Source organism: Homo sapiens, chromosome 3 (assembly GCF_000001405.40).
Source record: "Homo sapiens chromosome 3, GRCh38.p14 Primary Assembly".
NCBI classification, from domain to species: domain Eukaryota; kingdom Metazoa; phylum Chordata; class Mammalia; order Primates; family Hominidae; genus Homo; species Homo sapiens.
Window position 1 is genome coordinate 37,956,983 of NC_000003.12, and position 14,570 is coordinate 37,971,552.

Consider the following 14,570-nt stretch of genomic DNA (forward strand, 5'->3'; position numbering starts at 1 on the left):
AAACACCACCAAGGTACAGAGAATGGCAGATCATGCAGCTGCTGTGCTCAAGAGGGCTTTGAAGTTTCTTTTGAGAATATGATCTTCTCTTCGAACCTGACAATGATTTTTTTTTTCTTTTTCCTCAGGGTGACCAGAGGCAGGTCATTCCCATACCAAGTGTATGTATATTTATCTAATTTTATTTATTAAAACAGTCATAAAATCTTGTGGCTTTGGGCCTACTTATATAAAGGATTTTTTTTAATGTTATTGCTTATGGTGAGTTTATCATGTGGTATAAACAGCTCTGTTCTGTTAAAAAGAAAACTGAAGCTGCATTTTAAACTGTGAGCAGGAAGTTCTGTACAGAGACAGTTTCCTTTCTCAGGAACAGCAGGGCAGCCAGCTCCATTAACCTAATTCTCATTTTTCCTTTCTCTCTGGGAAGGACCTCCAAGCTGAACAAGCTGAGGTTGCTCAGAGGCCTCACCCACACCCCACTATCTTAGCCTCAACTCCATAGATTGGCGGGAACATTGTTTTGCCCAGACCCAGTTCTTTGCAGCAGATTCAGTCCCAGTGGAACTGGGCTCACCAAGCCCACGTCCCAGGTGACCAGACTGTTTCTAACTTATCAGTGGTAGCATGGCTGTAGCTCCGAGATCAGAGAAGTCACTGTAACTATATTCTCGGGACTTGCAGGACCCATCCCACAGGCCTGCTGTGCTGCCACTCTGCCCCAGCTGGGCGCTCCCTGAGGCCACCCCCACTTCTGTTGTCATCCCTGAAATTTGTTCCACCCCAGCACCGTCCTGCACCAGCCACCCCTCAGCCATCCGCTGTCCTGGCTGTCCCTTCTCTTCCTCCTGCTCTGCCAGCAGAGCCACCCAGCCTGAGGCCAGTCAGTAAGAAGTAAACTGAAGACCGACTCCCAAAAGAAATTTACAGTTGAGATGCCTGTATCAAACAAGACCTTTCAAATAGTCTTATGTCCTTAGAGAAGGATTTAGGTTTCAAAATGTGTCTATAAATTAATTTTTTAGTCTGTAAAGATGATCAGATTCAGATTACTTGATTCAAATGTGTTCATCTCTCTTTCCTTGGAGTTTTTCACATGTTTTCTGGGAACATACAATAGACACAGCAATCTTACATAGAAAGGAGTAGATGGATTTCACGTGTGCAGGTTGACTCCAAAGGCTTTGGTAGTACATGTCACTTACAAATTGCCCAAAAAGTTTACAGTAATTTCATTTTTCTCAAAACTCTAACTCTTCATTGACTAATGCGTTGCAAGAGTCTGTGTAGTGATTCTGACTTTGCCCATGTGCCTGAGGGTTGGGTTTTGTTGAGAAAACTGGCTTTGATCAAAAAGATTGACCTGGCAGCACAACTTTTTATCCAGAGTTTGAGGAAGATGCTCAGCAGAGTTAATACCAGAAGACTCTTTAACCTTTATATAAAGTAGTTTTTGACATATTTTTTTCCTGCAGAGGTACCTACATTAAATGATGGCAGGTAGCATCTCTCCTTCCACCTTCAATATCACTATTACTGTTTTTTCTTAAAGCTAATTGGCAGCCACGTGCAAAGTTAAGTGCAGAACAAAAGCACTTGTCAGTATAAAAACCCCACTGAAGAAACGGACCCTTTTCCCACAAATGTAGATTCAGCCATGTATAGAATTCTGGAATAAGATAAACAAGAAGAAAATTCCTTATGTAATTGATCCTACTGATAGATCAATAAACTGCTGACTGTGTCCTACATGTGAGATGTTGGGTCAGGCCATGTGAACCTATGAACTATCTTGCCCAAAGAAACAGCCAAGCTAAAGGAACTTGCACTTTTGAATGATGACCTCCAGAAAAGCATTTCCACTAGTGAGCACAGTGTGATTTCCACTGACTGCTTAGCATATAGGACTGATCCCAGTCCATCCGGGCCAGCTCAGCTCTGGAATCAAGTCTTGGGAGCCCCTGCAAAATCTGCACCTACCTGAAAAGGCGCCAGGTTGCATAAGCAGCGTGGTTCTGGCCTTTCTGGACCTCAGGGGGACCTGGTGAGTGCTGGGAGCCCTGAGAGCTTAGGGTGCCATACATAGGAGCAGAAATCTGGGCTTGTGCTGAGTCTCCAAACCAGATCCCACAACCTCCTGAAAGCTTTCTTCAGGCCCTGAAGGTAAAGAATCCTCTAAGCCTGTGGTGACCAGAGCAGCTGCATCTGGGGTCCCTATCTGTGCCTGTCACCTCACCCCTCTTTTTTCATTCGCATGTTGCTCTGTTTGTATGTGTAGGTTTGGTCTTTTAATTTTTTACTAAACAGTAATTCAAGCTCATGGTTAATTTTTAAATATTGACGGATTTGGGATTAACACCTGTGGGAATACATACATACACACGTACGTGAAGTTGAAAGATTAAAGCAAAGAGAAAATATCTCTCAATGTAATCCTACTGCCTTCTAGGCAGTACCACTTTTTAATATATGTCATTTATCCTTCCAGAAGTTTTCCAGACAAACACAAACATATTTATATAAATGAAATTGTGTTGTATTCACCATTCTGCAAATTGCTTGTTACTTTCTAACAAGATGCCTTGAACATCTTTCCAAATATTAGTAGGTATATATCTGCCTCATTGTTTTATATTTCATTGATGGCATTTACTTTGTTTCCACTTCTGTGCTATTACAAATATTTCTCTTAAAAATATCCTCTTTTCTGTGTGCTTATGGACTTGTGTGATAGTTCTTTGTGATCAGTTTCTATTTGTGGAAATGCTAGGTCAAAGGATATATTTTACAGTATTGGTACATTAAAACCAAATTATCCTCCAAAAGCTTATGCTAATTTACATTCTCATGAATTATCTATGAGAGTGCCTCATACCCTTACTGAAAATGATAATCAAATGTTTCAATCTTTGCTAATCTGAAAATAAAGAATAGTATCAGGCCAGGCGCAGTGGCTCACACCTATAACCCAAGCACTTGGAGAGGCCGAGGAGGGCAGATGGCTTCAGCTCAGAAGTTCGCGACCAGCCTGGGCAACATGGTGAAACCCCATCTCTATAAAATATACACAAAATTAACTGGGCATGGTGGCCGGGTGCGGTGGCTCACACCTGTAATCCCACTGAGGCCGAGGTGGGCGGATCACCTGAGATCAGGAGTTCCAGACCAGCCTGACCAACATGGAGAAACCCCATCTCTACTGAAAATACAAAATTAGGCTGGGCGTGGTAGCTCACGCCTGGAATCCCAGCATTTTGGGAGGCTGAGGTGGGCAGATCACCTGAGGTCGGGAGTTCAAGACCAGCCTGACCAACTTGGAGAAACCCCATTTCTACTAAAAATACAAAATTAGCCGGGTATGGTGGCACATGCCAGTAATCCCAGCTACTCAGGAGGCTGAGGCAGGAGAATCACTTGAACCCGGGAGGTGGAGGTTGCGGTGTGCTGAGATCATGCCATTGCACTCCAGCCTGGGCAACAAGAGCAAAACTCTGTCTCAAAAAAAAAAAAAAAAAAAAAAAAAATATATATATATATATATATATATATATATACACACACACACACACACACACACACACACACACACACACACAATTAGCTGGGTGTGGTGGTGCATGCCTTTAATCCCAGCTAACTCGGGAGGCTGAGGCAGGAGAATCACGTGAACCCGGGAGGCGGAGGTTGCAGTGAGCCAGGATGGCACCACTGCACTCCAGCCTGGGCTACAGAGCCAGACCCTGTCTCACAAACAAAACAAAACAAAACAAAGATTGGTATCAGTTTATTACTTTGATTTGCATTTCTTTATCAATGAGTTTGAACAGCTTTTCACAAGTTCATTGGCTTTCTTCTTCTCTATTCATTTCCTGTAGTTTTTTATGCTGTGTTGCTTGTCGTTTTAAATTTTAAGGAAATTAATACTTTTCCCCAAATGTATGATATATCTTTTGGCCTTTTTTGTTTATAATTATTTTGGCCACAAGGAAGTTTTAGTTTTATATAAGTAAATATTAATATCATCCTTTATGCTCCTTGATTTTATATTTTCTTCTAGTATTTTAATAGTTTTTAATAGTTTCACCATTATACCTTTAAATCTTTGATCCATTTGGAATGTATGTTGGTGTAAGGCATGAAGTAGGAAGCTATCCTTTTTTCCAAGTGGCTACTCAGTTGTCCCAGCACCATTTATTGAGTAATCATGTTTTGCACGCCTATTGGAAATGACATCTTTATCCTTACCATTAGTATCGTTCATCTCCCAACTATGAGCCAGGATTTAGGGCCTTCCTTAGTGGGAAGCTTCATGGGCTGTTTGGTGAACGTCGGGTATTGAAGTATTAGGAAAAGATGCAGAGGGAACGAAAGTTTGAAACTGCTGAAGTATGGGTGGTCATGAATTGAGGTGAGCACTCGAATGCCTTGGCCCCAGTGAGGAACGCCACTGAGGCTGTGTCCTGAGTCCTACCGATCCCATACTTTTGCTTAAATTACACAGCACACAGATGCTCACAAACATGAGGCTGGCAGTGTAACCGAGCCATAAAAATGCTGAAAGGGGAGAGGATTTGTTTTCTAACAGCTATGTTTCTATGCTATTTGCCTAAGGCTTTTAATACAGCAATAGTACACTTCTTTCCACGAAAACATTATGAAGAACATACAAGCAGGACAGCTATTCTAATTAAAAGCAGTCTAGAGTTCCTCTTGCTCCCCTCCTGCGTTAGGCCCTGACATCCACCTGGAGCTCTGAGGGCTTGAGGAGCACAGCGTGCAGACCTTAAGCCTGAGAAATCTTAAGTAAGGAAACAATAATCCAATGTACCAGGAAGAGGTACTACATCTGTAAGATTTATGAGAGTTTGTGGGATGGGCACTCCAAGAGGAAATAAGCTTAGTGTTAACTATTCATGGCTGCCAGTTCTCTGCCAAGGACAGGAAATTTCAGATTTACTCCCAGGAAAGGAACAGGAATGAATACCATTCCCAAACCGTGGATGGCAAGCCGTGGTCCCTTCCTCCTCCACCCACCCCCCGGCAATGCTCTTTGTGTACATTTGAGCAAGTCATTTTGTATAAGAAAGACCTTTCTTGATGTGACTGGTATTTCTCTTGTTCTTCAGCTTTATGAAGACTTCAGAGAAAACTTGGTGCAGGACATTTCTTAGTTAATGATTCAAGCATCACCTGAACAGATCAATTGAAGTAACAAAGCACTGTGTATTGTCATTATATAGCATCCTTACATTTCCAAGGATGCAGCTGTCCCAAAGAATTCTTACCCATGGGCTGAAGAATTTGCATTAATCTAAAGCCAAGCTCTCAGGGAAGCTGTGTGCATTTAGGAAACAGCAGAGGATTAATGGAACCTCCTAGCCTGTTGCCTCCCAACTTGGCCTTGTTCCCTGCAGCACAAATTAAAATCAATTGCTTGCTTAATATGAGTCTCACCCTTCTCCATCTTTTCTCTCTTAGATCGTACCATGAGGGGTTTTACTTACTGTTAACTTTTCTCTCTTAGATTGCACCATGAGGGGTTTTACTTACTGTTAAAGAATGCTTGTAAAGTGTGGGTTAACTGTGCTAAGAAAGTAATCTTTATTCTTGGGTTTGGAAAATGAACCACTTTTGGCAGATCTTTGATGTTTTCAGAGATGCTAGGGTTAGAATTTCTAGATCCTTATTTTCCAGGCTAACAATTAAATTAATAAGTTAAAACATTTTAGTAGTTTATAAACGCATAGGAAAAGGACTGGATAGACACTAATGTCAAAAGGGAGACATAGAAAAGAGAATGATTGTGTTTTACTCTCATAGGTCTATAATCTTTACAATGAGAATGTGTTTTATATTAAATAGTTGTGTAATAAAAATTCAAACAAATTTTATTCTGGTCACAAGCATGCTTTCTGCTCTGTCCCAGACAACAAAAATGACCCACATTCTCTCTACTATGTTCACTTAGCTCATCACACTCTGCCTTTTTAAAAACACCTTTTGATAGAAAACTTTTTGCAAATTTAATTTTTTAAAAATAACCTGCTGACTCACTGGTTTGTAATGGAGGACAGAGTCCTTTCTAGATCCTCGAATTTCGTGCCTGTCTCCAAGGCACATCCCCACATCCCGTCACAGTGCTGCAGGATTAGGGAGGATTGCTTCCAGCTGAAAGAGATGGGAGGCCATAAAGGCTCTTTCTTCTGGATGACGTTGGAAAGGAAGAAACATGGAGTTAGAAATGCTTATGTCTCCACACGTAGCCTCTTCCTGGGCAACCCTGGACAGTCTCTGTCTGCCAAGGTGATCATTGTACTTGCAAATTTACCTAACCTGTTGACTGCCTGTGTTACATTTACTATTGAACCAGCTAGAGTTCAAAATTAACTTTTGATCACTGACTTTCAGTTTGAACCAAAAAAATAAAAAGAGGAAAGAGCCACGTAAAAGGAAATACAGCTTGATTTCATTTTTTTCTTGTTTTATTTGATGAACTAAATTGTCCATTCTTCAGGGGCTCAGAATAGATATTTCCTTTTGTTTTGTATCAAATATTAAAGAGAGTTTGACCTTCTTTGCAGGTCAGAAAATTAATTAGTTAACTCTGGATATTGAATATGCCACAAAGTAGACTAAAATACTTCAGATCATTTCTAGAATGAGGCAAGGCCTAAAGAAATAAATCCTCTAAATCGAGTGAGGTTGGCCAGAGATACCTAGCATTTTATGGTTGGCTGAAGATACCCAGCATTTTATTAACTCTTTATGACTTCTTTATCACGAGATTTGAGTCACCTGCTACTAAGACACATAAATAGATTGTTTGGTCAACACACAACATGTGGATTAAAGTATAACTTTCAGAGGCAGAGAATCCAAGGGGTAAAAATACCACATTTGCTCAGTATTCTACCACAGTGCGGTGGCACAAGGTGGCACTGTACCTGGATTGGTCTTATTTCTGTTTCCTAGTGTTGGGGGTAACTCTGGACTGCATTATGCTGGTGGGCCTATAGTTTGTCTTCAAGTTTTTTAAAAATCTCAGTCACTAAAAAAAAAAAAAAAAAAAAAAAAAAAAAAAAAAAAATCTGTAGTTCCAACATAGCTCTAATATCTACTTATGTGCCACAGTGAATTTCAGGCAAAATATGACCCCACGAAACAGACCTCCATTGTGACAGTACCTATTATAATTAAATACTCATTCTTGTGTAATCCATTTTAATAATAACTGTAGCCACCAATATATGTGTGAGGCAAAATGCTGGGCATTTTATTGCCATTATAACTGATAACAACAACCTTTCATGGTAGGTATTACTATCCCAATTTACAACCAAGAAAGTGACAGAGCTGATGATTGAAACCAGGTTTGTCTGGTTCCAAAGCCTAGGACTTCATAGCAGTCATTCAGATCGTGGCACCGTATTTGATAAAACTTTAGTTGCAAACTACTTATTCCTATTGTTCTTAATAAAAGCCCATTATACGCTTGACCAGGCATTTAAATGTTTGAAAGTAGTATAATGCAATACTGATTGGTTTGTCTTTTACATAAATGTAATACTGATTTATTTTTCCCCTTTAGCCACCAGCTAAGTACCTTCTTCCAGAGGTGACGGTGCTTGACTATGGAAAGAAATGTGTGGTCATTGATTTAGATGAAACATTGGTGCACAGTTCGTTTAAGGTAAATCAACATAAAAAAAAAATCCATGATCTTTGTGATTTGATAACAATTGTATTGGAAAAGGGAAAACAAAAAGGATGAAAGCTTATGGTGGTTAGTGTGTGACTTCACTCTTCATGTAGAAATCCCAGGAGCTGCTTATTAACCCAGGTGAACATTAACTAAAGTAGTTGAATATTAACATAATTAGTTTGGAAAGAAAACACTAAGCTACCAACATCACTGGGACCTCATTCTTAGGAGGTTTGCATTTTCCAATGCTGTAACCGCTGCAGAAATACTTTTCAGGTGGCACAAGGCACTCAGTGCCCCCAGGATACTGTTTATATTTGTCAAGATGACCAGAGTGCTATGTGTTTTATTGGGAGGGGGAGGGGAGTCTCTGTTGGAAACTGTCAAATGACCTGGTATCATGGAGATTTTCCCAGATTGATTTTTGAAAGATGTCCAACTCTGAAGAAGACTTCCAGACTTCAGGGCATCTGAACAGATTCAGCCATTTAATTTGAGCATCTTCATGACAAGAAGTGGCTGGGGTTTTTTGCAAGCTTCACAGCTAAATGAGTACCCACCTTCAGGACTTCCCTCCTGAAGGGTGTGGAGGTCAGACACTCTTCCTTCCTGTCACCTTCCCTGATCTCCATCTTCCTGCTGGAAAAACAGCAGAAACGGCCTCCATGCAGGAAGAGCTGTGGCGACACTGTTAAGAAATGAGTTAGTTAACCATTTTTTTTTGACGTGAAATAAATTGTATAAAAGAGGCAAATGATGAAAAGTTTGGAAATAGGAGATTGGTGTTTTGGGGAGAAGAAGCAGGTATTTAGGATTCTGGTCTTGTTTTCCTTGGATTATTTCTGGTAATGGGACTGCTCTATCATTGTACTGCATTCCTCTTTCCCCCACCAGCCTGGGACTCCCCTTCACTGAGAGACATGAAGGTCACCATCCATGATGGGGCATGTGTCTCACATGAACCATAGTCATTCCTTACAAGTTGTAGGAAGCAGAAGAGCTGTCAAATGTGCCCAAACACCTTTCTACCAGAAACATCCTTCTTTGTTCTTCTCACTAAACAGAGACCTTTCTGGTAGGACAAAGCCAGAAAATTGTCTTTGAGTCCTTTGAAGAGTGGAGAAGAGACCACACTGACCTCTAGCAGTGAGAAATTGCCTTGTTCTGGCTACTGGGGCATGCAGGGACCACCTCATTCCCTAGCACTTGAGGACCAGCCCCTTCCATAGTTGGTCCAGGGGATATGGTGACTTTGTGTCCCAGCTTAACCCTAGATAGCATTGGAAGCCATTTCTCCCCCATGGGCAAGTTGCTCAGGACTTTTCCAAGTCTCTGTGAAGGAAAGCCCTTCAGAGCAGGGGTCGGTTGCCATCACAGCATAGAGAACTCCCTCCCAAGCAACTGTGGGAGTGTAGGCAACACTGGCCAGATCACCTGATGTTACTGAGGATTCCTGGCTCCAAAGGCAAGGCCCTGGTAGCCCCCAGTGTCTCTAGCACCTGCTCGGAGAGCATTGATGCCACAAGCTAATGTGAATGGTGTTTCCTCATTTCTTCCCTCCCCTGGCCTGCCTACATTTGCAACCAGAATATTCTTTATGGTTTTTAAAGTTCTGGGCATTTCAAAGTCCTTTGAGAATCTGAAAGCTGTGAACCCTCTTCCCTTCGAAAATGTACATTTGTACAATGCATAGGTTCATGGATCCCAAGTGAAGAACCCTAGCTGTAGCAGAGTCTCCTTTATACCAGCAGGAGAGAGGAGAGTAAGGGTGGTGCTTGCTGTAAGCTGGGGAATGGTTTTTCTCTTTTTAATATACTCCGTGGAATGTGATTCCATAATCTAATGCCTTGGGAGAGTCTCTTCCTTCAGTCTTTCCTTTTGTTTTTTAGCATGATTCTGATTTTAGTTGTGCAATTATATGATATTAAACTCATCCTTGGCCTTCCAACTCTGGGAGTAAATAAACAGTGATCATAAGCTAAGTGCTTAGTAACGGTGCTATGACCTAGCATTGTCCATGTTTTTTTGTTTTGTTTTTTGTTTTTTGTTTTTTAGTTTATATATCAACAAAGAGGGTTTGTGTGTACTGTGATGGGCTTAAAAGCAGACTTCGGTTCAGAGTCTGACCAGATGCTGTACCCCTACCCCTGCCCAGAGGCCACCACACACACCTTCTCCTTCCTTCTGTCTCTCTTCTCTTGTCCAGGGGTTTGCAGGCTGATGATTCAGTTGGGCCTGTTCATTTAAGTAGTTTTGTACCTAATTTGTGGAATTCCATTGAGAACTGTGTGTAAGTTCATCATTGAGAACGTAATGACTGCTGAAGAATCATATTTGAATTTTAAATGTCATTAATATTGTCAAAGAGTTATTTAAAATATCCAGAAGTTTGTGGGTGTGCTGGATGTTGTGTTCCTTGGAGCGGAGCAGGCATAGGGTGGGCTGGCTCTGTACCCCCACCCAAGGCAGGAGCTGGTGCCAGGCTACCTGGGAGGGCCTGAAATCACTGATTCTCAGTACTGGACTGGGGCCATGGGCATGCATCAGACCCATCACAATAGCTAAGGAAGAGAGGAGAAACTGAGGTCCAAGGAGAGGAAGAGCCTGCCCAAGGGTGTGGCCTGCGGCCTCTGACTTTACCCCCACATGGCCTTGTTACTGTTTTGAGTCCGTGTGGCCATCTTCTCCTGCTGAGCAGCCCATCGCAGGGCAGCCGCCAGTTGTGGGTCCAAGTACAAATAGTTTTCCCTCAAGCAGCACTGTCCTCGGAGCCCATTACATGCTCAGCTCCTCCCCCTGGTGGCTAGCAGTGATTCCCCATCACCCCAGCAAGACTCTGGGCAAGAGCTGGAGTTTTCAGGAGCCCCATCCTCTAGCCAGGCAGTGCCACACTTTTTGGTTGAGGCCAGGCAGGTGATATTGGACCAAGATGCTGAAAATGTAATGACATTCACAGTGGAAAATAATGTGCTTTCCTGCTTGTGCTTATTTTAAGGAACCAAGGCATGCTTCATCATCCTCCTCCTGAACTGTTTTTTCCAATAACCAAAACATTGGTCTAGGCAGGCTTTTTTCTTGCTAAAATTTCCAGAGTTTTTTTGTTCCTTCAGACATATTAATTATAGTCTCTTTTTTCTCTAGCCTATTAGTAATGCTGATTTTATTGTTCCGGTTGAAATCGATGGAACTATACATCAGGTAAGAAACTGAAGCTAAATTTGAGTTTCAATTAAGATTTTTTAGTACTTACATTTCCTATGAACTTTATTTCTAAATTCTCATTTCAGTAATAACTTTATTACGGAATCAAAAGGAAGCATACTGTAATAAATACAATGTTTTTCTTTTTTTCACTCCAATGAATTTATTTTATACTGAGATTATAAGGAAACTATAGTCGTAAATATTAGATGCGGTTGCAAGTTCAAATAGTTCTTTGATTTGAATTTCAGAAGTTTCCGTATCCCCCACTGGCCTAGCTTGATGGTCTAATTAACTTCCTTGTGTAATTGCTTTCGGCTACTCTCCTAGCAGGCAACAGGAAAATGCCACAAGTCACCCACTTATGGTGGACTCTCGGGAAAAAGTGTCCATTTTCAATGCCAGCTGCTCCAGACTGATCTTATCATTCCTGCATCGTTTTCTCCAGAGAATCTTTAGCAAATACCCACCCCAAAAGAAAAAGGGGGAAGGGTGTGAGTTTTCGGATCCGCAGGCTGCTATGAATAAAGATGCCGTAGTCAGTTGGCATGCGTCTTCGTTGCTTCTGATTTTTTTTCCTTATCTGCATAAAGCTCTTCCGGAAATAACTTCATTTATGAACAAATTGGGAATGTTGTAGGAAAACTAGCTTTAGAGGTTGAAGCTGGGGGGCTTTTGTCAGATTTTCCACAGGGATGATCTAACCATCTTCCTTGTCAAGTCCAAGGTCTTAAAGGGAGCGTATCTGGCCTGATATCCCAGGAAGGAGACTTTCCTGGTACTTGAGCCACAACGGGATGTCTTTTCTTAGCAATGTCAGTAGTCTTTGGTTCTTGAGTGCAAGGTGTCAGAACTGGAGAAAGCTTGGGAATCAGCTGGTCCAGCTGCCTCATTGTCTAGATGGAGAAACTGAGGCTCCGCCAGGGAAGGGGTTGGTTAAAGGTCATACGATGGGAAGAATTAAAATGAAAATTCCAGTCTCCTGCCTCCTGGCCCAGGGCTCTTTTCCTGATACGCAAGTCCCTTCCCTCCCATGTCCTTGCTTTCTTGCTTATTCTCCAGGACATCCTGCCAGGAAACAGTCCCGGGGAGAGGCAGCTTTTTTCCTAGTGTTTCCACACTTCATGCTTTTAAAAGCCATCACAGAGCCAAAACGGCAGGCACTTGGGCATTTAACATTTGCAAAAGCATCAACTGAATTAACTCAGCATCTGAGAAGCAGTTAAGGCTTCTGCATTTATCATCTTGGCTTGTGTTACATAGTGCTCATGATGAGACAAAGGAGAGGCTGCCCAATGGCATAGCAAGAATTAGGAGAGAAATTAATCCTTTGTACCACGTGACTGTAAGCATGACTGGCCTGCCCACTGCTGACCCATTCTTGCAGGAGCTCCCCCACCCTCCATCCTGGCTGTGCTGTGATATCACAAGGTCCCAGGGCTGGGGTCAGAAATTCTCTCCCGAGGGAATGAAGCCACAGGAGCCAAGAGCAGGAGGACCAAGGCCCTGGCGAAGGCCGTGGCCTCGTTCAAGTAATCCAGGATAGGCTGTGCAGGTCCCAATGGGCCTATTCTTGGTTACTTGCACGGGGACGCGGGCCTGGACGCCGGCATCCGGGCTCAGGACCCCCCTCTCTGCCAGAGGCACCAACACCAGAGTTCACAAATCAGTCTCCTGCCCTTTGCATGTAGCAAAGCTTGCTTTCCAAGCAGGACTCCCAGGGTGACTGAGGACTACAGGCCACACCCGTTTGCTGGCAACGAGGAGTCTTGTGGGCAAAGTGGGAGTCTGCAGCTGTTGCAGCCACAGGCCCTGCCCTCAGCCCTACCCCAGCCTCCCAGCTCCTCAGAGCTGTGTTGGCACCCGTGCTACGACATCCTGTTCCTCCAGCCCCTCGCTCCACCCTCAGCCACAAATCCATGTCCACCTCCTTCTTTCAGTCACCCATGAATTTCCCACTGAGTCCTGGCCCTCCTGAGCTCCTGCTTCTGGCACCTTGAAAATGACTTGGTTCTGTATAGAATTCCTCGGCCAGCAGCACACCCAGCATGTGGTGCAGAGCCCTCATCTCCCCTCTGCTGCTCCTCCTGCCATTCTCACCTGCTCCATCTGCCATTCAAGGCCCTAATGTGCCCACTGTGACCTGCCTCTCACTTCATCTTCAGCCACTTCCTCTCCCAGACCCTGCTGCTCCGGCTTCTCTCACTACCTCTGATGGCTGGGCACACAGCCTGGCTACTCTCTAGCTTCTCAAGTATTCTCAGGCCTCGGGTCTCACCCTCTACTGTTTCCTCTGCCTGAAAGCCCACTTCTTCTCAACCTTATTGGCCTGGTGAACTCCTTCAAGGTCCAGGCCAAATGTTATCTTCTATGATCCCCTCCCCTTGTGAGGGGAGTTAATTGTCCTTAATTTATCCCTCTACTACAACTTTCATTATGCCATGTTTATTTTTATATGTTTTTGCCTATGTCTGTTCTAGAGTATGAGCTCTTCAAGGGCAAGGCCTGTGTTTTATTCATCTTTGCAACTACATCAGGCTGAGCTCAGAGCTGAGGCTCAGTAAACATGCTGAATTGAATTTTAAAGAGTTTGATTTATTTTAGTGAAGTGGCTAATTTCAAACGGAATTTATTCAAGTTTGAATTAGTTCTTCCCTCCTCCCACTTCCTCTGTCTTCTCTCACCAGCTTTGCCTTCTCTCCCATCTCCCTTGTTTCCCCAGATTCATTCAGGCTCCCTAATCAAGAACCTATGTATGGTCTGAAGCCTGGCCTCCTCACTGCTACCCCCTGGCCTGGCCTGGTCAAAAGGGTGCACAGAGCCCAGCCATTCTAGAAAAGGCTACTCTTTGCACCCCTCTGCTCAGAGACCCCTCCTGATGGATTATGTCTGGGGTCCAGGAATAGCGATGGTTTCACATCCCCTGAAACATACCAAGCCCACCCTTTATGGTGTCATAGACAGCTTCCCAAGCTGACAAGGAAGCCCCTTCTTGCAGCTTTGCTGGGCCTGTGCTTCAACCCCAGACCTTCCTAGTAAGGGGGATGTCCATCCAGAACAGAAGGTGGCAGCCGGAGCAATCCCAGACCTGCTGGGCAATATGCTGGGCCTGGACCTCTGAAAGGACAACACCCAGACCGTGGCCCGTGCCCACACAGGTCCTGACCCTCAGCAGGTGCCAAGAAACACACGTGAAATGAATGAGTCATTACACACAAACATGGTACAACCCTTCCATTTGCTGGCCCTGAATATCCCCAAGACCCTCACACCATGGTCAGCTTCTCTTTTTCCCTTAGGAGGGGCGTCTGCAGTGAACTCAGACCTGGAGCCCTGTCTGAGGAGTGCCACGTCTGACTCCATAGCCCCTCATACAGTCTAGGCCTCTGCCTGCTATGCATAGACCTGGGGGAGGGAGGCAGGAACCTTTGTAGCAATTCTTCCTACAGTGGGCATTTGGGCCCCAGGCCATCCCCAGCAACTGCCACATCTGACCAGCCTGCTGTCTCCTGCCATTGCAGGTGTATGTGCTGAAGCGGCCACATGTGGACGAGTTCCTCCAGAGGATGGGGCAGCTTTTTGAATGTGTGCTCTTTACTGCCAGCTTGGCCAAGGTGAGTCCTGCTTCCCAGCCCCACACTCCCAGCCTGGTACTCCCAGCCCCTCC

General features: G+C 43.7%; 1 protein-coding gene and 1 non-coding gene across 6 annotated transcripts in view, besides 3 other annotated features; both read left to right on the forward strand.

The window, feature by feature from the left end:
- The window catches only part of CTDSPL (CTD small phosphatase like), a 122,590-nt gene that overhangs the window by 95,103 nt on the left and 12,917 nt on the right, over positions 1 to 14,570 (forward strand). For 3 of the 5 annotated variants that reach the window (NM_001008392.2, NM_001438028.1, XM_017005520.2), the window contains exons 3-6: positions 129 to 161; positions 7,589 to 7,690; positions 10,844 to 10,900; positions 14,425 to 14,517. In NM_001008392.2, coding sequence (NP_001008393.1) covers positions 129 to 161; positions 7,589 to 7,690; positions 10,844 to 10,900; positions 14,425 to 14,517 — 285 coding nt within the window. The remainder of the gene's footprint in view (positions 1 to 128; positions 162 to 7,588; positions 7,691 to 10,843; positions 10,901 to 14,424; positions 14,518 to 14,570) is intronic. The other 2 variants (NM_005808.3, NM_001438653.1) reach the window with 1 other exon arrangement.
- Positions 4,883 to 5,494: an enhancer, noted in NCBI's record as "OCT4-NANOG hESC enhancer chr3:38003356-38003967 (GRCh37/hg19 assembly coordinates)". NCBI's record gives its function as "activates a minimal SCP1, AML or CMV promoter by ChIP-STARR-seq in naive and primed H9 embryonic stem cells {active_cell/tissue: H9 hESC(naive and primed)}" and the evidence as "EXISTENCE:reporter gene assay evidence [ECO:0000049][PMID:30033119]".
- Positions 12,092 to 12,655: an enhancer, noted in NCBI's record as "H3K27ac-H3K4me1 hESC enhancer chr3:38010565-38011128 (GRCh37/hg19 assembly coordinates)". NCBI's record gives its function as "activates a minimal SCP1, AML or CMV promoter by ChIP-STARR-seq in naive H9 embryonic stem cells {active_cell/tissue: H9 hESC(naive)}" and the evidence as "EXISTENCE:reporter gene assay evidence [ECO:0000049][PMID:30033119]".
- On the forward strand, positions 12,422 to 12,498 carry MIR26A1 (microRNA 26a-1). The gene has a single exon (NR_029499.1). It is a non-coding gene; the product is annotated as a microRNA 26a-1 (primary transcript).
- Positions 12,656 to 13,217: an enhancer, noted in NCBI's record as "H3K27ac-H3K4me1 hESC enhancer chr3:38011129-38011690 (GRCh37/hg19 assembly coordinates)". NCBI's record gives its function as "activates a minimal SCP1, AML or CMV promoter by ChIP-STARR-seq in primed H9 embryonic stem cells {active_cell/tissue: H9 hESC(primed)}" and the evidence as "EXISTENCE:reporter gene assay evidence [ECO:0000049][PMID:30033119]".